Source organism: Homo sapiens, chromosome 6, assembly GCF_000001405.40.
Source record: "Homo sapiens chromosome 6, GRCh38.p14 Primary Assembly".
NCBI classification, from domain to species: domain Eukaryota; kingdom Metazoa; phylum Chordata; class Mammalia; order Primates; family Hominidae; genus Homo; species Homo sapiens.
Window position 1 is genome coordinate 117301362 of NC_000006.12, and position 24506 is coordinate 117325867.

The 24506-nt window shown below is 37.4% G+C and overlaps 1 protein-coding gene and 1 pseudogene across 11 annotated transcripts in view; one reads left to right on the forward strand and one right to left on the reverse strand.

The window, feature by feature from the left end:
- The window catches only part of ROS1 (ROS proto-oncogene 1, receptor tyrosine kinase), a 138590-nt gene that overhangs the window by 14009 nt on the left and 100075 nt on the right, over positions 1-24506 (reverse strand). For all 11 annotated transcript variants that reach the window (XM_017011173.2, XM_017011172.2, NM_002944.3 and 8 more), the window contains 8 exons: positions 22971-23054; positions 19898-20033; positions 18507-18669; positions 16827-16891; positions 15782-15911; positions 9659-9756; positions 8720-8920; positions 7433-7567 (listed from right to left, as the gene is read on the reverse strand). In XM_017011173.2, coding sequence (XP_016866662.1) covers positions 7433-7567; positions 8720-8920; positions 9659-9756; positions 15782-15911; positions 16827-16891; positions 18507-18669; positions 19898-20033; positions 22971-23054 — 1012 coding nt within the window. The remainder of the gene's footprint in view (positions 1-7432; positions 7568-8719; positions 8921-9658; positions 9757-15781; positions 15912-16826; positions 16892-18506; positions 18670-19897; positions 20034-22970; positions 23055-24506) is intronic.
- RN7SKP51 (RN7SK pseudogene 51) lies at positions 94-397 on the forward strand (annotated as a pseudogene).

Sequence of the window (24506 nt, forward strand, 5' to 3'; positions counted from 1 at the left end):
AACAGTTATTATTCCAAATAAATAGATGGATAAGTAGATGGTGGGAAAATATCTACTCAACACTCAACTACTCAAGGTGAAGGTCTCCTGTGAGGGTGATCTGGCTTCAACATCTACCACCCATTGATCACCAGGGTTGATTCAGCTGATGTCTGGCTATACAGGTGTCCCTTTCCTCCAGTGTTCCATGCGTAACCCTCCTGAAGTTGAAAACTTGGTTGGAGAGGATGACCTTCCCTGATAGAAGAGGACCATTCTTTAATCAAGGGTGTTCAAGTAGCTCTCTAAGCTCTCAAGGTAAAGGTCTCACCTGCACTGTCAGTCTTATAGTCAATCATAATGTATCAACACATAAAGAAACTAATAGCTATAAAAATTGTTGAAGAGGCTGACATTTAAAAGATTTACTCCATTCCACACAGATATTTAGTGACAGAACTAGAAGCAGCAATCAGATTTGATGCCAGTGTTTTACTGTTCATTATAGTCAGGTTGAGTTCCCTAGACATTCACAGCTGGTTAATTAAACATTATCTTTTCCTTAATGGTTGTCCAAGAAATATCTGTGCAGCACTCTTAAGTAGTATTCATTCATTCACTCAGCAAAGATGTTGGACACTTGTTTTATACCAGCAGTATATCAGGAGCTAGGGACATGGCCATGTGACTCTTGTCCTCATAGATGATATGTATAGTAATTATAAGAGAAAGGCAAAATTCATCACACCTCAACTCATATAAGCAGAAAAATTGTAAGTATTTTATATTGTTTATAATTAACTAGGTCTTTTTCAGAGTCCCTACCTAGCATAAGAAAAGAAACTTCATTTAGTACAATGTTGTTTATAACTTAGTCCCACTATTTTAAACAATCTTTTTAAGTAATATTCAGTCTTTTCTGGATAATAACCCAACCTCTCTTATTTTCAGGCCATCCCCACTCCCTCTGCCTTCCTGTCTAAGGTAGTGTCAGGATATATGTTGAGTACGAGGCTTATGTGACTTCTAGAGGCATGGTGAAGAATCCTTTGAACCCCACTGTGCCCTCCATATCTTTGATAGTCTCAGTGGCTAATCCAGAATTCAATAAGGAGTGACTTATCTGATCCAGCCTAGGCATCAGCCCCTATTGGCAATCTGTGAATTATTTACCTATTCTTTTGACGCTTCCCCACTACAGTGGTCCAAACTTGTCTATCTCTAGCTGTAGGATTCTTAGATGCTATCAAGCCCTGTAGATGCTCTCAAGGCCCAGGGAATCCATTCCTGTTTCTGCTGTAGGCCCACAGGGTGCTACTTGGCAGAATCTCTAGCTCTCAACAAAATGTTCACCCAATATAGGAAACAAAGGAAGTTTGGAAGCATAAGCTAGACCTTTCTGTCTGGACAAGTCATTCTACCTTCTTGACAATGCTGGGTCTCCCATGTCAAAGTGAGGGTCCTCCACTCAATGATCTCTTTGTAATTCTCCCAAACTAGGGGTGACTGAGCAGTTGGCTTTGGTGGTACCCATCTCTTCTAATTGAAGCCTACAGAGGAGGTTTCCAAACCCAGATATCCAGTATCTTCACCCTCCCGCCTCTATCAAGTTCTCTTCTTTCTTCACTTCCCCAGGGCTTGGAAGGAATGAGGGCTCTATTCACTGCCTTTTTTAATTTGACTATCCTTATATAAAATTGTATGTTTTTACACAGACAATTAAAATCTAGTACTTAAAACATTAACAAGGAGCTAAAGGACTGTAGATGCTCTCTATATTCCAAGCCTGGTTTTCAAGCCTACTGACTTATTATAAACAAGTACTTGCTCTCATTTTTTACTTTCTGGAGCTATATGGCAGATCAGGATCAGGGAGAGAGAACTGATAAAGAAACAGATTGGGAGGTACTTAAAATATTAGTACTACTATATGAACAAATATACAATCACAAATTATAAGTTCTTTGCAAAGTTATAAAGAAAACAAACACGAGTTCTAATAGACATGAAACAGTTTTGGAAAGTTGCTTACAGAAGGCCCCTCTCCAGAGGTGACATTTAAGCCAAAGAACTTTGTAAGAAAATAAGATACTACTCATGGGAATAGGGTGTGGATGGGAGTCAGGGAACTACAAGTGGGGAAAGCATGTGTAAAGTCCTAAATTTGGAAAGAGCTTGGCACATTTTAGAACCTGAAAGAAAGCCAGTGTCACTGAAGTGTGGTCATTGAGGGGAAAGGATGAGATGAGATCAGAGGAGGGAAGCGAGATCATGCAGGTCTCACAGGGCAGGCAAGGAGTTGGATTTTACAACACTACAAGGGGAAGCTTTTCAAGATTTTTAAGCGGACATAATCTTTACATTTTTTAAGGATTATTCTAGCAGATATGTGGACTATAAATTATAAAGGGGCAGGTTGGAAACTATTAAAGAAGACTAGATGAGAGATAATGATGGTGTGGACTGAGGTAATGCCTGTGGAGCTAGAACAAGATTATAATCACTAGGTAACGATGGCCCAGAAATCATTATAGGTATTGTATTTAAAATAGCTAGTATCCATTTGGGGAATTATAATGCAATCTCCATTCCATTATAATATGGCATACAAACTCCACTTCCATTTATTTCGTTTCCTAACAAGCACCTCAGGTCAGAGTTGGTACACCATATCAGAATAAATGGTATCAAGGAAAACCAATATTGGACTGTTTCAATGTATTGATCTGATGACTTCACATGTATTACAAGCAATTTACATAATGGGTATACAGTGCCAAGCTTGGCTCTATTTTTTAAAATTAGAATCATATCTGAGAAATAACCAAAAGACAACCTAATCTTTTACATAGTTCTCTATAACCTGTGCCATTTAGAAATGGGGATGATACAAAGATGTCAATGAAGGATCATTAGCCTTTGAAATGAGATATTATAATCGATGTCAGATCACAGAATTTAAAAAATAAAGTAGAGTTTTGATGATTAATCTAACAGTTGTCCTCAGAGTTGAGAGGAAAAAGTGAAGCATTTTATTTTTGAAAATAAAGCTGTGATTCAAAAATATTGCCAAGGCATAGAGAGAATCTCTCAAGGTTGGTCATATTTCAGTTAGGAGGTTTTTACAGTTGTCCCTCCTTATCAGTTTTGCTTTCTATGGTTTCAGTTAGTTGAGGTTAACCATGGTCCAAAAATATTTAAAGGAAAATTCCAGAAATGAACAGTTCATAAGTTTTAAATTGTATGCCATTCTGAGTAGTGTAATGAAACATGAAACTGAGACATGAAACTATCCCTTTGTCCAGCATATCTATGCTGTATATGCTACCTACCCATTAGTTGACTAGGTTGTCAGATCAAGAAAACATAGTGTATATAAGGTTGGGTATTGATACGATTTGGCCCTGCGTCCCCACCCAAATCTCATGTAGAATTGTATCACCAGTGTTGGAGGAGGGGCCTGGTGGGAGGTGACTGAATCATGGGGGCAGATTTCCACCTTGCTGCTTTGGTGATAAGAGTTCTTATGAGATCTGGTTGTTTAAAAGTGTAGCACCTCCTTGTTTCTTCCTCTTGCTCCCTCTTTGCCTCCTGTTCTGGCCATGGGAAAGACTGTGCCTGCTTCCCCTTCACCCTCTGCCATGATTGTAAGCTTCCTGAGGCCTCCTGAGCCGTGCTTCCTGTAGAGCCTGTGGAACCATGAGCCAATTAAACCTCTTTTCTTTATAAATTACCCAGGTTCTTTATAAATTACCCAGCTTCTTTATAAGTTACCAGTTCCTGATAGTAGTGTGAGAATGAACTAATACAGGTATTATTCTTGGCTTCAGGCATCCACTGGGGGCCTTGGAACATATCTCCCACAAAAAAGGGCTATTGCCATACTTACTTATAACCTGCTTTATTCTGCAAAAAAATCAAGATACTTAGTGAGATTATTTAGAAGGAGAGAAAGAAAAAGAAGAAGGAAGAGGAGGCCCGGGAAGAGGAAGGTGGGGGAAAAAGAAACCATCCTTACAGCTGCCACTTAGCCACTTGCACATCACTCACTCATTCTACCTCCAAAAGTTCAGCCTCTTGTTTAATCTATAAAATCCACTTAAGCAGAAATTAGAAATTCCTATTTTTTTCAATTATGGAGGCTTAAATTTACATTTAATCCAATCATTACTCTGTACTTAATTTTCTGATGACAAACACATTTGACCTGTTAATATATAAACCCTTTCTGTTCCACCATGTAGGGACAAATGAGGACTAAGAAAAGAGGAGCTATATAAGCAACAGTCATCTAAAAGTAAAGAATAAAACTTCGGTTCTCAAATAGCAATAAACTGGCAATGGAATGAAATGAAGAGGCTTTTAATAATCCTAAATGTATTTCTTATATCTTGTAAGTAAATTAACAATGAAAACTATAGTCTTGGCATGGAGGATCTTCCCTTACAAATATGTCCTTGTCACCATTCTATATCATGCAGTGTATACTCGCACCAAGTTATAGTTACAAATATTCAAACATATTACTCTAAACAAATTTGCAGGTCCTTCAAGTTTGTTAAAATTTACCTGGGCTGGTTGTTTTGGCTCCAGAAAAATACTCATTATACTTGAAGTATCTCATTTGGCTAAGTAGAGGTTCCAATTCCTCCACTCACCATGCAAACTCTTTACAACTCTTCTCCTCAAGTTTTTTTTTTTTTTTTTTTCAAAATAGCACAGGACTCATTAGCTATATCCAATGTTAGCCTCTATGCATATTAAAGACTTTGAATTCACAAAGCAATTGAACTTCAATACATGAAAACGTCATAGTATTTTTCAGTATTAAAGGGAAAAGTTTCTACAGGTATTTAAACAAAGTACATAAAATACAGCCTTCAAGATTTTCCTTACTTATTATACCTAATCCTGGAGAGATCCGATTAGTATCTAGGTGTACATATTTTTTTAAGATGTAAAAATAACATGGTGAACCTCTGTGTTCTCCCACGGTTGCCTCCCACACCTGAGGGACTCTCCAGTAATTCCAGTTGCCACTGTGATATATCTGTTATAAAACCCCAGAAAGCTCTCACTTGAAGTAGATTGCCCTTTGATCCCATTTCTTCTCAGGAGTGGTGTGGTTGTTGTGCAAACTAAAAACTGAAGAGAATCCTGATGGCTGGGCTTTCTATCGTACATCTCAGGCTATGGAGAGAAGGGCAGGAATGCTCTGAACCTGGCATTCCATTAATAGCTGAGTACAGCATAGCTATCTATGGGCTCACCTGACCTGGAGTGCATCCAGGTGCTGAGTATTTAAGCAGTAAATGGAAGGTGTAGCAGGGCTCAGTGCAGACTTTCAAACCCCTAAGCTGGGCCTGTGATCTCAGAAAACTGCTTCAAATAAATATCAGTTCCCTCTGTACTCTAAGGAGAGTAGTTAATCTTTATCATGACAACTTAAGGCCATGGCCAGATTGAATGGTATTGCTGAGATCTCCATTTCCTAGCCCAGCTTGTTTTCCTGGTTGGCAACGGATCTTTAACCCTTCCCAGGGCTTGTTAGAGTCCTGCAGCACTTGGAGGGCTTGATGCATGGCTTATTTTTATTAATGATGTTCAAATGAACTTCAAAACCACCAATGGAAAATTTTCATTTCAAATAAACTATATTTTTATTAAAACAATGGCAATCCAATCAATAAATTATTCAAGATAAAACTGTATAGAATATTATATTTTTCCACTCATAATCAGGAATACTTTTCTAGCACTGCTCCTTCCTCCTTCTAGTTGCATTTTTTATACCTTTAGATAGAGCAAAGTTCAACTTGTCTACCTTTTTCTGCTCCACAATACAGCAATTTGTTATTAACCCCCCTGCCCCAAACAAAATAATCAAACACATCAGTCAAAACTGATAGTTTAGTGATCAATTTCAAAGCTGCCTATCCAAAAATATTGCATGATTGTGACGAGGCACGTTAACCCTTGGGGAGAGAGTGGCATAAGCCAGATAACATTCTAACAGCACAAGGAAAATTTTGTGCAACTGAAATTCTGGCAAAAATTTCTGAGTGTTTGACAGAGGTGTAAGAGATGCAAAACAGTGATTAGTTTGTAAATATTTAATTAAAATTTATTTTGTATTTAGGTATCCTGGGCTTTTTTCTTAAACCCTACATGAAAGGTTTTCAAATTTTGTATAATTTCTTATCCTTAATTTATATAATTTTTCCCCATTTCCCCCCAAAATGATTATGAATCATTTTTTATGCACTACTATCAAATTTGGTCAGATGTGTGTGTATCTGATCTCCCTGTAAACATCGCAGAGACTATTAAGTTAAATCAGAAACAAGCGGTAATTCCAATCTTCTTCTAGCTGGAAGATTTAAATAATACAAAAACATTCACCAGTAGAACATCTAACCAAGGTGCCCAGCTCTTAATCATCTTTTGGCTCAAGTCTGAATAATCCTCTAAATAACACAGCATAGTCAAGGCAGTACAACCATGGTGTGCATCCGCATACTGCTAATTCCTTTTGCACTTGCCTGTACCACACAGTTTAGCACTTTATTACATGTTGGCTTGGCATCCAACTGCTCTCTGTGGGTGTCTTTTCATTCAAAACACATTCTGAGATGCTGAAGAGCTGTGTCCCTGGTTTAAACACCTCTGTAATCCATACAATCCTTGGCATGCTATGGTGCACATGGAGAGTTCATACTTATTTGCTCTTTTAGGAACTTCTTGGGTAAGACAATTCTTGGAAAAAGTTGTCAAGACTTAATATTTCTGCTGATACTTTCCACAAGGAGGCAGATTAATACTCAGAATAAAAACCTTTTTCCTTATAATTTGACTAAAATTCACTCACTCTTCTGAGAAATCACTATTGGAATTCAATAATGGCCAGGATTCGCTAAAGTTACAATACTTAGTCATTTTTTGTTATGTTCATAAACAGGTCACAACCTGTATAATTTTTAGTAATACTATTTCTTATTAGTCAATGTCAGCTATATCAACAAAGGGAATCCAACTTTTTAACAATATATTCCCATTTAGTATAATATTTTAATATGTAGATTAAGATACTAGTCAAATCATATCTCCCAAAATAAAAGGCATATGTGTGTGTATACTCTCTCTCTCACACACACACACATACACTCGGAGTGCTTTTATTAGAATTCACTTAACCAGAAGTATTTTACTTAACCAGAAGTATTTTACTCTCCAAAATTTTGTTTCTCAGTGAAATATCATGTGTATATACAATTAAAAAGAAGCCATAATATATTCACAAATTGACACAATGAATTGATATTTTATGTGGGGTATACAATATTTAAGTTCCAGTTCTTATTTTAACAATTTAACAAACTATATCAAGAGGCCTAAGATTGTATGTGCACATGTTTTTGTTTGGGGGATACATATGTTAACATAATTAACTTACAGATCATCAGGACAATTTCTTGGTGGCTCCAGTCTCCCTCCTGTTTGCACATAGTTTAACACATCAAGGTTGGAATGAGCTGGATAAGGCTGATGACCAAGAGTTAAAATCTCCCAAATCAGAATTCCAAAAGACCTAAGAATAGTAGAGGGTTTGCTTTAATTATACTTATTACAAACACCAGGTTTACAGTAGTTTCTCCAACAACATTTTTCCTGGGGCTAGCAGGGTCTACTTTGTCAGTGTATTATTGGCCTCATAAAAGGCAAACGGCAGATATAAAAGCAGGCTGACAAGAAAAAGTAGAACAAGACACTGCGTATGAGCAAATACTTCAAAGGTGATAGGAAGGCTTGGAGGAGGCACACATGTGCACACACAGAGACAGACTCATATGCATGCTCACATGCATGCACATCCACGCACATATACACATATGCACACACAGAAACAGACACACATGCACATGCATGCACACACAGAAACACGTGCACACACATACATGCATATATACATGTATACACACAACTCATACTCTGTTTCTCTCCCTGACTGAATCCCCACTGTAGGCCTCCATTATCTAAGAATTTCAGAGCATTGACATGCAGACACACCAAAGGGTGAGCACAAAAACATTTCAGCATTTTCCTCCCAAGTTTGCAGGGGATAAAGTGCCAGTAAACATTGAGAGGGAAGGCATGAATAAAAATTGGCAGCACTGAGAAATTTTATCTCATTCGTAATTTTGCCTAGGGCCAGCCCAACTTAAAAGTCATTGAACAAACTTTTACATTTTGAGCTGTTCTATTCAAAAGTTGGAGTCAACAAACAAAAATAAGGGGCATCATTCAAATAATAAAGGGATGTCCAAATCTCCCCAGTGTCCTAATCTTTTAGGATACTTTTAAATCCATGATTTAAAGTTTACTGATAAATTAATGACCAAACATTCCCAAATAGTAGGTATTTGGGCACACACTTGGACATTAATTCCTAAGTACCAATTCCTATTAGTCATAGGCTTTTACATCTTTGGAATGTAATAAAATATTTGAATGAAATGTATCTATTTCATAACAAAACTGATTCAGGGAGGAGCATAAACTGCTGAGACCCAGGAATAGTACCACCTTGACCACCAACTCTCACTTTAGCTTGAGGCAAATCACTTAATCTCTCTGGTCTTCTGTTTTCTCACATTAAAAAAGCAAGATTAGATGTCCTTTTAAAATCCCCTCTAATGTTTGATGATTCTGTCAGCATTACTCTGTGTCCCGTTAAACTTACCATACATCAGATTGAGTAGTGAAGATTCCATCCATCAAACTTTCTGGAGCCATCCACCGAACTGGGAGCAGGCCTTCCCCTCTCTTTCTATAGTAATCATTTTTATAGATGTCTCTGGCGAGTCCAAAGTCTCCAATCTTCACTATCCGTGGACTGGTATAGTCTTTCACGGAAACAAGGCAATTTCTAGCTGCCAGATCCCTGTGGCAGAAGTTATATTTAATAATAATAATAATAACAACAATAAAGTTCCAGAAATCAAAGAAGTAGCCCTAGTAGGTCTGTAAAGAAGAGAAACTATTTTTTTTTTTTTTACTTTAAGTTCTGGATTACATGTGCTGAACATGAAGTTTGTTACATAGGTATACATGTGCCATGGTGGTTTGCTGCACCTATCAACCTGTCATCTAGATTTTAAGCCCTGCCTGCATTAGGTATTTCTCCTAATGCTCTCCCTTCCCTTGCCCCCAACCCCAGACAGGCCCTGGTGTATGATGTTCCCCTCCCTGTGTCCATGTGTTCTCATTGTTCAACTCCCACTTATGAGTGAGAACCTGCTTTGGTTTTCTGTTCCTGTGTTAGTTTGCTGAGGATAATGGTTTCCAGCTTCATCCATGTTCCCTCAAAGGACATGAACTCATTCTTTTTTATGGCTGCATAGTATTTCATGGTGTATATGTGCCACATTTTCTTTACCCAGTCTATCATCGATGGGCATTTGCGTTGGTTCCAAGTCTTTGCTATTGAAAATAGTGATGCAATAAACATACATGTGCATGTGTCTTTACAGTAGAATGATTTATAAGAGAGACTTTTAATAGAAATTATTGCTAGTTTGAAGGAATTAAAATGTTTAATTATCTTGTGTGCTTTACCTGCACTACAGGTGATTATTGTGCCAATATCCGTAATAACCCTGTATCCAGAAGAGAATTGTACCTGTGAATGAAATGCATCCGTTCCAAGTAGACACAGCCTTTTGAAATATCTACACACAGGTCTACAAGGTCAACCAAGGTGAGTAAAGGACCATAAAACTGTAAGAAATGAAAGAAAAATTACAGGTAGTTATCTAGTTTGCATGAAATATATACATATATGTGTGAATATAAGTGGATACATGTATATGCATATGCATGTATGTATCTGATGTTTTAAAGGGATTTTTAGTTATGATTATAAGAATTCAAACAAAGAGGAAAACAAATTTATATGTTTCCTACGCAAATATACATAAAAAATGACAGCTATGTTTAGTAAGTAGAGGCAATATGGAATCTTTATTGGAAAGACCTCCAGGTGTCAGGTCAGACAGATCGAGATGTGAAACCTAGTTCTGCTACTTACTAGTTGTGTGAACTTGCTTAAGTTACTTAACTCACTAAGCAAATTTCTCATGTGTAAAATGGGCAATAATACTGACCTTGCAAAATTCAAGTAAGTTACATATATGGCTGGTCGATAACAGGCACTTAATAAACAGTTGCTGCTCTCATAAGTAGTCAAAATGATCATTTAAGTGCTAGCTGGTTTAATTATTGACCCAATGGCACTCTGTCTTGCCAGTCATGATAATGGGCTTGTTTCTCATACGAGCCCCATGCAAATTGTTAGCAATACCCTATTTCAAAGTTTCAAATTACTCCTCTCATCTAAGAGAGTGAGTACAAACATACACTTGAGCCTGTACTGGTTGCAATGATTTCTACATGAAAAGAAGCCAGTTGAAGTTTTTATTAGTACCATACTGGGAAAATTCAAAGTTCCTGCCCTGAAGCTATATTACATTGTCTGTCCCTTTCCATTGTCCTGCAATTACCCTGGTTCAAGCTTTTGTCATCCCTAATTTGATGCATTCAAAAATTTCCCTTGTCTCCAGCCTCCTGTGCTTTTTCATTAGCTTGATTTGTTGTGACCCCCTTCCTGTAGAGTCCATTATGAATTCCTGAGCACAGCCTCCACAGCACCCCCAGGCTGCACCAGCCTTTCTACAAGTCTATTAATTTCCTACTGTTTCTCCTCTCTCAATCTGTGCTTCCGTTACACTGGTCCGATTGCAGTTCCTTATACCTACTCTGCATTTCTCAGCCTCTCTTCTTTATTCCTGCTATCATTTTTTCTCCTGGAATGTGCTCCTGTTTCTTGATTTCCATGGACAGCCTTAGCTGAGTATCTCAAATGATTCCAAACCTCCAAGTCCCTCAATTCCTTAAAAACAAATGCTCTTAAGTGGTGTTCTCCCTACCTCCCCTGACACGTTTATCTCTTGCTCCCAAACTAGGAATAATCCTGATGTTCTGGGGCTCACTATTGCCATGGTTCTGCTCAGCCACACCTAGGGCTAATAACTAGGCTATGACCTTACTCCCAAATCAATATCCTCCAACCCTATTATCATGGCCCGTATCTGAGTCCCTGCTGGATGTCTTGAATGGTTCACTGGTTCCTGTGTACATGGAACCCTGCTCTGCTCTTGACAAAACCTACTCTACCTGTGAAGACTTTCTCTAGGCCTAGGATCCTACTCCCTAATTTCAGTCTGGTGGCTAGTGCCCTGTTCCCTGCTGACAGATTTTCATAATGCTGCCTGCCTGCTTGGATCTCTGACTATTCTCTCTTTCTGATATCCCATGTATCAACCTGTTGGGATACCTCATCACTGCATGTTGGGTTTCCTTGACTCTAGATGCTACTCTGGACTACCACCTGTCATCTCTTGTTAAACCCTTCAGATAGATTAAACTTTGATCTCAATCTATCCCTAGTCAAAGCCTTTCATAACTCAGTGGGAAAGTATAGTTCAGCTACTGTTCTACCTCCTGCTTTGGTTGTGTCTGAATCAGAAGACCTCTTCCATGAAGCCCTCTCAGGTTTCCTCAGTTGGAAATCACTCCTTCCTCTGGGCTTCTGCAGTATATTCTCCACTGCACTCTAATGAGTCCACCTACTTCCTACTTTAAGTGGATTATTTAGGTATCTGTAGACTTGTGTCTGTAGACTTACAACCTACCATGTAGCAAGTTCCTTGAGTGCAAGAACTACATCCTTCACCGTTGTATAGCAAACACCCAGGAAAAATTTGGTGAATTTAATGTTATCTGGAAGGCAGCACATTTACTACATATTTGTATTACTTTGACAGTTTTTTGTTTGTTTGTTTCGCTTTTTTCTATCTTAATACAATCCTTTTAACAAAAGTTAAGGCTAGGTGTGGTATCTCATGCCTGTAATCCCAGGACTGTGGGAGGCCAAGGCAGGCAGATTACTTGAGGTCATCAGGAGTTCGAGACCAGCCTGACCAACATGGTGAAATTTTGTCTCTACTACAAAAAATATACAAAAATTAGCTGGGTATGGTGGCATATGTCTGTAGTCCCAACTACTCAGGAGGCTGAGGCAAGAGAATTACTTGAACCTGGGAGGCAGAGGTTGCAGTGAGCCAAGATCACGCCACTGCACTTCAACCTGGGCCACAGAGAAAGACTCTGTCCAAAAAAAAAAAAAAGTTAAAAGGAGACTTAGGAAGCTTTTGATTCAATATTCCATTTTGTAGATAAAGAAACTGAGTCCTCAGAACAAAGGACTAGACTAAGCTTTCCGGGCCTAGCTGCAGTCAATTCTTAGGCATTCAACCCAATAAAATAGTCCTTGAATGCAGGGAGAAAGAGAAAAAGGCCTCTGCTGGTTCTTCTGAGATAGTGCCTCTGAGCACTCCATGTGGGGAGAGGCTGGCCTCAAAAGAAGTCAGCAGGAGGGAGAGTAGCATTTGTGATGGCTCCCATAGGCCTCAGGCCTTCATTCTGCCTTCAGCACCTAACGATGTCTCTATGGTTGCAGCGAAGGAGACGAAGCCCTGGAAGCTGTTTTTGGCAACCACCAGGAAAGGCTGCGGAACAGCTGAAGTGCATGTGAGAACCAATCTTTATAAGCATTAGGATCCTGGGTGACTCAAAACGATCTGGAAAAAGTAGATCCACTTTTTTTTTCAGTCCATCCTTTTTCATCCTCTCTTCACTTTTCATACCCCCAGCCCCACCACAAAACAAGACAAATCTACAAATAAAATTTATTGTTTAAGATGAGGGATTGAATGTGCGCATTTTTAGTTCCACTCTCTCCCCAAACCTTACTAACATGGCAGTATAGTGAAAATTTTCATAATTTCACAAGGGCAAATCAACTGTCATGAGAACTGACATGGCAGACAAAGCATTCTGGAAGAGGGAAAGCAGATGGAGGAGTGGTAATTTAGCAGAGCCAAGAGAGATGAAAGCTGACTGCCTACAGAAAGAAAAGGCAAGAATTGAGCTGTTTTTCACTATGGAAGCTCATAGTCTCCAGAATGGGAGGCAGCAGGTATCCCTGAATACAGGGACAAGAAGAAGGACTGAAAGCAAAAAGAACGTTTAGGTTATTTAAGGCCTAACTAAATCATAGATTCTTCTACCACAGATGAAGGCTTTTGTCTATAGAAAACAAACAAATAAAAACAACAGAAACCTGAACCAGAACAACTCCAAGTTCAGAGATACTACCAGTCACACTGAGGCACTGTACTGAAATGCAGAGAATTAAAATTAAATGAGAGTCCACATACTGAGCCTTGAGACCTCCAGCCCCCTCTAAACGCTCTGAGTTGATGCATCAGGCATTTACTGTCCAGAGGAGAAACGAGCAATTTCCTCCCTGGTTAAACTGGCATATGTCAGGGAAAAGATTCAGTTACTGACATTGGAGGACCCCCAGTGGAAGAGCAGGGTCCCACCTAACACCAAAAGGAAGCTTCCTTGGACACATAGGTTCCCATCATTTTGTTAGGCCTCACGATTAAATATGAAACCAGCCAAGAATACTAAACATTTGAGAAAGATTCTCACATTGAATCAGATTCCAAAACAAAGAGGAACAAGGAAGCCAAGACAATGCAGGAAGCAAATTAACACTCTTTGAAAAGCATAATTAATACCCTAAAAGAAGATGAGTAAAATTTTGCATCTATGAACAAAACCAGAATATTATTTTAAAAAGCAGTCAAAATACAAGAACAAGACTGTGAAAAATTAAAATATGTTAACAAAAATTTTTAATTCTACAAAAAGATTGGGGACAAAGTTGAGGAAGTCTATCACAATAGAAGGCAAAATGACAAAAGCTAGAAAATAGGAGAGAGCAGCTAATAGAATGAGAAGATGAAACAAAGCAGTCCGTTATAACAGGATTTCTAGAACAAAGAAATAGAGGGAATAAGGAATTCTATTCATTATCAAAGAGACAATGAAAAAAAATCCTGGAACTGAAGGGAATGATTAGCAAAGCAACTGTTACTTTACTATGAGTAAAGAGTACCACAGATAAAATTTTCCTCAAATTTTTGAAGGGGAGGAGGCAAAAAACAGACCACTGATAATAAGCTCAGGAATCAGAGTGGCATAAGAATTCTTATTGGCAATTGTAGAAGCGAGGAAAGAAAGATGTAGTGGCTTTATCTGTTAGATAAAGAGTTTTCAACCTAAAAGTCCAACCAAATTATCAACCAAGTGTGAGGGAAGAATAAAGGACGTTTTCTCAAAAATTAAAAAAAAGCAGATTTTTGCTGCACATGCATACTTTCTCTTCTAAAACAAACAAAAAGTCATGAGATACATGGAAAAAGTCCCACATGGACAAGAATTGAGGAAGATTCCCAGGTTGAATGTGAAGGAAACCCTAGAACAGCAGCTGTGTAGCTAGCCTAGAGCACAAGCATCCACACTGCTTCCAGGAAGGAAGTGTCCAAGAAAAAATTAAGTACTAGATTGTCTGATACTGTTAGCCATATTGAGAAAAGTGTTACAATTCAGTTGGGGAGTTTACGTATATAAAAACTAAAATGAAAACAAGAGATATTTATTAAACTAGCCTGAGAAAAAAACTTACATTAATAACATTTGGATAATTCAGCTCTAAAAATAATAATAATAACTAAATAGTTCTAATAATGCAAACCTGGAAGGATGGTTTATCTGCAAAATTGTGATAATTGTCAGAGGATGAGGCAAGCAAAGTTTTCCTGTGTGTAGCGTGGTGAGGGATGGACAGGTATATTATGAGGAAGTCTAAGAGAGTTAAATCCTCATCTTCCATACTGGGCAATCAATTTACCCCAAATTGAAAAATCAACATGTGTCAGTATGAGCAGACTATTTAGGAACTTGGCGGTAAATACCACAAGATACATGCGGGGCCTGAGAGGTAGGAATGAGGCAGTGCACAGGGCTCCTGTTTTTCACTATATGCTTTGTCACACATTTTAATTTTTTAGCCATATGATGTTTATTTTGATATAAAAATTTTTTTAATCCACCAGATTTAAACTTTGCTGACTTGTCTTATCTTACGTGTTCTCATCTAAGGTATAAGGTAGATTCCTACAGGTAGTCACCCCCAGTCCTGTCCGCCATTCCACAGTATTTCCAGGGTTCATAATGTGCTGTGCACTGCTCCAGGCACTGGGGATACAAGAGAAGAAGGACTGCGGCTGCGTTTTGCAGGCAGAGTTTGTTAGCATGGATGTAGGGAAAGAGAAAGCAAGGAAGTAGATGGGTGGAGTAGGAGAGGACGTACGAAATCAAGAGCTCCGTTTGGGGCAAAATATGTTTGAGATACCTACTAAAATCCAAAAAGATATGTCAACTAGAGAGGGACATACAAGTCTGGTACTCAGTAAAGACATCAAGACTGGAAATATAATTTGGGACAGACAGGCATATAGATTAAGTACAGAGATATGCCTTTCCAACTCCACGCTATCCCTGTGCTCCAGAAAAACATGATTCTGGCAATGAGGGTCATGTTCTCCCATTAAATACTAAAAACAGGCTCGGGCTCACATGACCAGAAAGTGCCAGAATGTTAGCCCAGGGTTCTGATTGTCAAAAGCTAATGTGAAGGAAACAGAATAATTCTTTCCATGTAAGTCTTCTAAGGTTTTACCACTGCAGCCTATTAAATTTAAAGAAAATTAATAGGGAATTATAGGGCATTTGCATTATGAAACCAATATTATGGATCCCAACTGCCTACCGTTGCCATCCGGGCTTTACGCAAATAAGTAAGAAGGTCTCCTCCCTCCATCAGTTCCAGGATAATGTATTGGGGTTCATTCAGCAGACAAACTCCAAGCTGCTTCAGAATGTTGGGATGATTAAATTTGCTGAAAGGTGGAAAGACACAGGCTGGATGATATGACAGAAGCAGGAGTCCTAGCCGAGGGTCTTTATGGAGTACAGCAATTCTTTATCAATAGTTTCCTTCAAAACCCCTGACTTAGTGTCTCTAACACTTCGTTTTCCAACTCCTGGTCTTTGTGCTTACCTTAAAGAGGTAATATGGCAACCCCTAGTGGCCATGAGTATGGATAAAATAGGTTGGTTTTTAGAAGGAATAACATTTGTATTAAGCATATTTTGGAAAAGAAAGTAATTTTGACTAGTAGCGTCCTTGAAAAGATATTTAAAAACATTGGGTTTTGGGTCATTACAGGTATGAAATATATCCTCTCCCTTTCAGGAAAACAACTCAGAAATGCGGGTTTGGCTACACAGTTTTCTCAAGACATCAAACCAAGTAAGTCCCAACCTAATAATTGGAACCCACAGCTTGAGACCCAATCAACCACTGCCTCAAGTCTTCCCATTAAGATGTGCTTGAGCAGTTTTTATGACCACAAACTCAAACTGATAGACAAGTTTACTAAGACAAAGGATATTTTCACTGACATTATAGCATTTGAGAGAACTCTCTCTTACTGGGTATACTTGACCATTATCACACATTTAGATGAATACAAGCATGTCAAAAGCCAAACAGCTTCAGAATTCATTTGCAAAACATGCTCCTTATTGAAGATAAAAGAAAGGAGAACCTTTTGTCTGAGGATTGCCTGTACCCAGGCTCAGAAGATTGGCCTCTATAGACTACTTGCTCTGCAGATGTAGTTCCATTTAAACGTTTCAACCATGTTGTTTTAGTCATGATCCGTTAAGTCATGTCATTTTGGGTGTTAAAAATAAGTCAAGCGGACTTAAAACTTCTTACCCATACCAGGAGAAAATTATTTCAGAGCTACCTCATCAGATGTGCCTCCTTCAGGAATTCAATCTTCTCCTGGTCTGTGGAACCCTTCTTCAAAGTCTATACAACATAAAAACAAGTCAGGAATCAGTATAGCAGACATTTCTGTGAGCTCAGTGGGTTAATGGAGATTGTTCTGTTTGTTCTGTAATATCTACCCTGAAAGCTGGAAACAGATCGTAGATAAAACATGTGCATGTATTCTACAAACCCTTCAAATGTTACCTCCTGTTATTGCTAGTAGAAGAATATGCAAAATAAGAGGTCTAGTAATGTTTACACAATATTCCTCCAAAAGGTAGAAATTTTAAGAGACCAAGTTTTGTTGTTTAGGCCAATTTCTTAATTTTCAAAATTTTCTTTTCAATATGTTTTCTCCATCTCCTTGCTTTCGATTTATTTCTTGGAGGCCAGGTTCCCAGTCCCAAGCAATTGATCAAAGCTAATCATGAAAATTGTATTCTAAAATTCTCCAGCCTCCCTTGGAAATTGGGGTGGTCATATAACTCGGTGATGGTCAATGGCATATAAGAGAAAAACTGCTGAGGCGGGAAGGGAGCTTTGAAGAAGACTTTGCCTTCCTGAACATGTACATCTCACACCATCTTTCCTCCTCTCCCTGGCCCGAATGAAGATGTGATGCTTGCTTCTTTGTCAGCCATCTTGGAACAATGAGGCAGCAAGCATGAACAACAGCCAAGAAAATTTCAGAGATACTGGCTCTGACCTGACACACTATCCTGAACCAAAGCCAGCAGTCATCTTGTTACATGAGAGAAATAAACATTTGTTTAAAACAGTCAAGGTGGGAGTAAATTAAAGAACTTTTAAATGACATCATTTAGAAGCAGAGAGAATTTTGCCAACTTTTCTAGTTGTATAGCTCACTCTCAAAGCAATAAATCTCTAATAAGCAGAGATCAGGATATTGCTCAATTACATAAAAGATTCATCCTCCCTTTATCAAAAGAAAGTTTTTGCAAAAATATGAGTATATCAAGTGCTTCCTTAAAAATACATTAAGTATACTATGATAAATAATCATGTAGTCAGAGACTGACAAACTACAGCCTGTGGGCCAAATCCAGCCTGTCACCTCTTTTTGTATAGCCTATGATCTGAAAATGGCTTTTCCATTTTTAAATGGTTGAAAAAGTCAAAAGAATATTACTATTTCATGACATATGAAAATAATATAAAATTCAAATTTCAGTGTTCATAAGTAAAGTTTTATTGGTACACAGCCACACTCATTTATTTACATATTGTCTATGACAATACAATGGCAGAGTCTGTATGGTCAGCAAGCCTAAAATACTTACTATCTGCCCAGTTAAGAAAAGGTTTGCTGACCCTTGGTCTAGTACCTTAAGAATGTGTTTCACAACTCCAGTTCTCTTATGGCATGTTTGAAGAAAAATGATTGCCTGATAGGTCTTAGCTAATTAGTAGCCTTAGAGGTAATGCAAACCCTGGAGATTGTTGATTACAAACAATGTTCCTATGTAGGAAATGATTTTTTTTAAATGTGATTTCTGTAGCTATGGATAGGCTTCGACATTCAACCAGTCCTCTTTTCAACAAAGAGCACTCAACTTTTATTATAATTATATCCAGGTCAATCTTTGTAGATATGGTGATATAATGTGTCAAGGAGTTCGAAGATTCACATTACCTTCACTGCTACTTTGATTTCTCCACTTCCAACTCCTAAGATGTCCACTGCTGTTCCTTCATACACTTCTCCAAAGGCTCCACTTCCCAGCAAGAGACGCAGAGTCAGTTTTTCCCGAGGGAAGGCAGGAAGATTTTCAATCTCCTCTTGGGTTGGAAGAGTACTGTAAAATAGCAACATTTTTGTCTCCCCACCCTCCACATATATAGGGTGTACAAGTTTGTGTTGGTATTGGTATTTGTGTTTGAGAGAGAAAGAAATATCTCATGGCTTTGCAGTATTGTGTGTTTTATGTGACACGGTGATGTGGAACTTTGGGTTCCTAATTACTTTACTTTACTATTCTACAACCTTTTACCCAGACAGAGCATGATGGTCCACTTCTAGGCACCTTAATTTTGATAAAAATATATATGTGTATGCATTGCCTCAACACTTTTATTGTAGCTTGTTGAGTCAAAGTTAGTAGGTATTAACTTCTTCAGATTGCCAATTTGTATAAAAAGCTACTGCAAATTAGTAATAAATGCATCTGGGTTTATAAGCTTTTCTCTTAGCTATTTCACACATGTGACATCTTACGTAAAACAAAATTTACTATGACCAAAAAAATCAACCCCATCACCATAAGGTTAACTTTAAAAAGCCAAGTTTCTCACTTGGAATACTACAAGGGGGGAAAATGCTGCTATGTTAAAAATGCTTTCAATTTTTAATAGAGAATCTTGAGTAGCAGATATGCTGAGTATTTGCTCAAAGGAAAGTCACCTCTAAACAGCTGATTTAGATCACCTTTGTGTCTACTTCAAATCCTTTGTTTTTACACCTTGCATTATAAATTTCTGAAAGCAAGGCCTATGATCATTTAATTCCTTTTTGCATAGATCCTAATATAATGAACCTTTGCATAAGACACTTGAATATTTTCCTTAATTATGACGGCAACAAAAGTTCAAAACTCATCTATCTTAAGAAGGTTTTGTGGGCAATCATCACACAACTTCTGAAATGGAGTAAGATTGACTTAAGGCTGACCACGTAACACAAGGCTCTCAAAACTCCTCTCCTCTCAAACACTGCCTCCAGGTCAACCAACCATGTTACCATCTATTCTCTTCAATGTAATATTTTTCTCCTTCTTTCATTTGTTTTTGAGCTACATGACAAAATACTGGAAACTAATGGATTTTTCTGTATTTTTCTTAAAACCACATAATTTTCCATCCATCCCAGGTCACATTTGAGAGTGGAAGAGGAAGTTATTAATAATTATGCCAGAAAAACTGGTATAAACCATGACTGTCTTGGGCAATGCGGAATTCATAGGCACTCTCCTTACTGTTGCCCACCCTTTGCCTAGGTGCTCCATAATGATGGCCAAAGCTACATACTGTATTGCATAGCAGGCATTAGCCAGGCCTACTCCGGCTGCCAGACCTCGCAGCTCAGCCAACTCTTTGTCTTCGTTTATAAGCACTGTCACCCCTTCCTTGGCACTTTTTTGATTCTTTAATCTTCTATGCCAGACTATAAAGGAAAAAATGACATAATTTACAAAATAAAATATTGCTTCTTTTTTCCTTTAGGAAATGTTAACAGTGCATTTGAAGTGTTTTTATGCAAGAACACTATCAGTAGAATAGTTATAGAAGTTTTCATAATTTGATTTTAAAATATCTTATAAAAAACTAATTAAATCCAGGTAAAAAGCCATATATAAGTACACAAATCATACTACACCATTTTTAATCTCACTTCTTAAAATTTAATGTATTTCTTACTGTTGTTATAAACAAATTAAAGTATCTTAATATTAAAACTTATTTGTCAAAATCACCCATAAACGAGTCAAAATAAACCAAAACAAACATAATTATTAGTGAAACAAATTCATTTTTGAGTTCAGTCACATCCAGGTTATATTCCTCAGTAGAAAAGAAAATGCTTTCAGTATAATGGCAATTTTTTTTTTTTTTTTTTTTGCAGAGTACAAGAGTGTTTATCATTGTTGTTCATATACACATACTCGAATATGTAGAAAAAGTATTGGAACGAAGCTTACCAAATGTTAGCAGTGGTCTGCCCTAGTTGTAGAATCATGAGTAATTTGTACTGTCTTCCTTATATAATAAGCAGTATTAGTTTTATAATAATAAAATTTTTTTAATATTAAAATACAATTATGTCAATAGGATTGTCATCTGTACTGGACTATTGGCTCAGAAGTTGAAAGCAGCAAGCATGCTTTGAGAGATGATCATTAAAATTTGAACTTAATTTCACAGTAGCTTCTATGTTCAAGAAGTTAGAGTTTTATTCACATGAAATTCAATTTGAAGGGCTACACAGTGAAAGATCACAAGTACCTTTTGCTAAATTAATTTTTCCAACTTGAAATGTTCTCACCACCTCGCTTCACTTTTAAAGGCCCAATGTAAGCCCACATCCTCAATGATGCCTTCTGAAACCTCAGCAACCTCTACTAATCTTTCATATCTGAACTTGAAAGACTAATTGCGCCTCTCTGTGAGTGCTTATCCTATGCACTGTCTTACTTATTTCATCTATTTTTGTCTTTTGTTATTATTTAACACATATCTTGCTATTTGTCTTCCCACACAGGCATGTCTTAACTCCCTCATTAAATGGCAAGCTCCTGAGGTCAGCAGTTGTATTTTACAGGTTTACATTTTCCCCTACTCCCAGCAGAAGGCTAATGTTATGCATTAGATATGACTGCTCAGAAGCAAAGGCTGTCAACACTCATTTTAAAAATTGTCTAATTTTATGTTTATAACTGATGAGTGCCCTCAGCACAATACAAATTTTAAAATAATTGTGACTGTTTTGTTATTTTAATTACTCAATCTTTTCTCATGCACACACACGCTCTTACTAGTAAAACCACATGCACTGCTGCTAAAAGCAAAGAACCGAATTAGCTTAGCTAGACTCAAAAATTCGTGAATTTCAAACAGAATAAAGACCTTTAAGTCCTGAGAAAGTCAGATATCCATAGGATGTCTTGGAAGCACAATAGGTTGTCTGAAATTATCTCATGTTCATCCACTAGAGTTATGGGTTTAAACAATGGTGATGTACAAGAAAGCAAGCAAAGGTCAGCTGAAGGATTCTTCATGTAATTCTCCTTCCCAGTAGGAAAGCAGACAAGCAGTCAAGCCTATATGCCAACTGCCAAATATACTGCAGTCATATGCGTAAGTCTGGAGGGGCTGGCTTAGTGGCACAAACATCAGCTGTGCAATACTTAGACTCTCTGGAACCACAGGTTAAAATCCTGGCAGGGTCAGCTGAAATTTTTAGCTTTCCAAGTTTGCTGAAGGAGTTTCACATATTGTCTGGGTGGAATCTTTGAAAAAAATCTCAAATCGAGCTTCAAAGTGCTCTCATAAAGATTGTGACTCCAATCACTTTGCAGAAAGAATAAAGACTTAGAACACAGTAAAGTGTTGGCTGTCTTTATCCTGAGAGTTCAACTTTATGTTTGTGACTTTTCCATCAACTTTCCCTTGTAACTTACCCCTACTTGTGAACAAAACAAGCCACAACTTTCTTAATATGTGTTTGAGTGTTCTTTTCTGGTAAGAATCATGCCCTTCTTTTAATGATTCAGTGTGTTGGGGACTCTCAATATTAGCAATAGATAGGGGTCCATATATCTTATAAGCAAACTCGGACAGTTTGGGGAATGAAAGAAAGTGCTATTATTATTTGTGCTGAAACAGAAATAAACAAGAATGTATGATCACTGTGATAACTCTAAAAGTCCAATCAGTACTTGACCATTCCCTTTGAGGTTTTTACTGCATTTTATTATCATTAAAGTAAATCTTCTTAGAAAAAAAATAGCTTTCTATCTACCTAACCTAATTTTTCTGCCTTCCTGGTCATTTATAAATGAGCAGGGATTTGAAATAAGCAGATCAGATGTCTGAAAGCAAGAGTCGATCCCACAAGCCAGAAATGGATCTTCTGCAAAAGAGGCCCTACTCATTCCAAACCAGCCTGTCTGCTTAGAAACCAAAACTATCCCAATCAAAGATTGTCACTGGCCTCCCATTAATTCTATACTTTTTTCTGTACCCAGGGTTATTTTTCTTTTATTTATTTTAAACCATAAGCCACAAAACATTTGTATGCAGCCAATCAGAAATAAATACTGTTTTAAAGAAACCTAAAAGTTGGTGCCCTTGCAAGTAGTTTTATCTAAAGTATAACATGAAATGTACATGTATATTTTCCATAAAATAGTTATGCCTAGATCAGAAAACAATTCACAGAAGTTAGTGGTTATAAATGTATAGCCAAAGGTAACAATGTAAATTTTATTAACTTAATCAGGCAATATTTCATGTGGGAGATTAGATCAACTAAGAGATAAATCAATCAGGTATGATTAAGTAAACAGTTTGTTGCCTATTTTAAAAATTCTATTATACTTACCAAAGGTCAGTGGGATTGTAACAACCAGAAATATTCCAACTATAATAGTAAGTATGAAACTTGTTTCTGGTATCCAAAAATCATCTAATAATATAAATCAGAAAAAGAAATTAATTCATAGATAAAAGCTAAGTTGCCCCAGCTCTACCTAAGCACACAGAGTAATATAGCAGAGCTAGCTACTACTGGATTTTTGCAAGCCAGTTGTTAGACCGTTGGTAGCTTGAAAGCATCCATACAGACAGTGTTTATGCCATGTGAAATCAAAAGCAAGGTGTTTTTGCTTTTTTTTGCAGAGAGCAACAAACCACTGGAATATATCCACTCAATCTTCTACTTTAAAATGACTTAGGAAACATATATATCTTTTTAATAAATTTAGGACCAAGAAATCTCAGTCTTTGGATACTAAATAGTTGGCATTATTATTTTGTATAATATCTTCATACATATTTAATTTCATGGATATTAAACTGAGGAATAAACATGGTAATTTCTCTTAGGTAGTTTCAGTTGTGTAGAGGAAACAAACACGTAGGCCAGAGTCTGGCAAACTATGGCATGAGGACCAAATCTGGCTATAGCCTGATTTTGTACCCCCTATTAGCTATGAATAAGTTTTACCTTTGTAAAGTGTTATTTTTAAAAAGAAGGAGAAGGAAAAAGAGAACAGAAAAAGAAGAAAAGAAGAACATGCTACAGAGATCACATGTAGCCTGCAAAGTCTAACATATTTACTATTTGGTTCTTTTCAGAAAAAGTTTGCTGAGCTGGGTAGCAAACTTCTGTACACAACTAACTAGATAACTAACTATAATATAAACAAGAATCATGTAAGTTTTATATAGCATGTGAGTGTATAAAATGCAATAATTCATTTGACTAAGGAGCATCAGGTAAGCATTATGATGAGTTCATTTAAGTCTTGAAGGATGAGAAGAATTTCAATTGGCAGAAAATAAATAATAGGAAATCACAGCTAAGGGGCACAGGGTAGGTAGTGGGGACCTGTATTCTAGGCTGAGGCAAACACAGGGCCAAAGACTAAGTGACATAAAAACTTTTTACTGGTCTGATATGGCTACAGCACAGACATAAATATTGGAAAAGATAAACCACAATTGGAGGATAAATTACAGAAGACCTCACATGCCACAAAGAAGTTTGTAGCTGATTCTGAAAGCAGTAAATGGAGAGCCATTGTGGGTATTTCAGAGAGGGATTAAGTAATCCAGCCTGTGCTTCAACTAAATTTAACTGTCAGCAGTATGCGTAAGTCAAGGGCACAGGCAAGAAATGATACCTTAAATTAGGAAAGCCAAGGTGGAAAGAGGAAGATGAGAACTCATCAGAGAAAAATCAAGATGGTAAAATCAACAGGACCTGATTACTGAGTAGAGGGAAAAATCACATATGGCACTGAGATTTCCTGCCTATGTGATTAGAAAGACAATATATCATAAACTAAAATAAAATACACAGTGGAAGAGGTAGATATTGGGGAAGAAACAAAGGTCTTAGGCCTGTTATGTATAA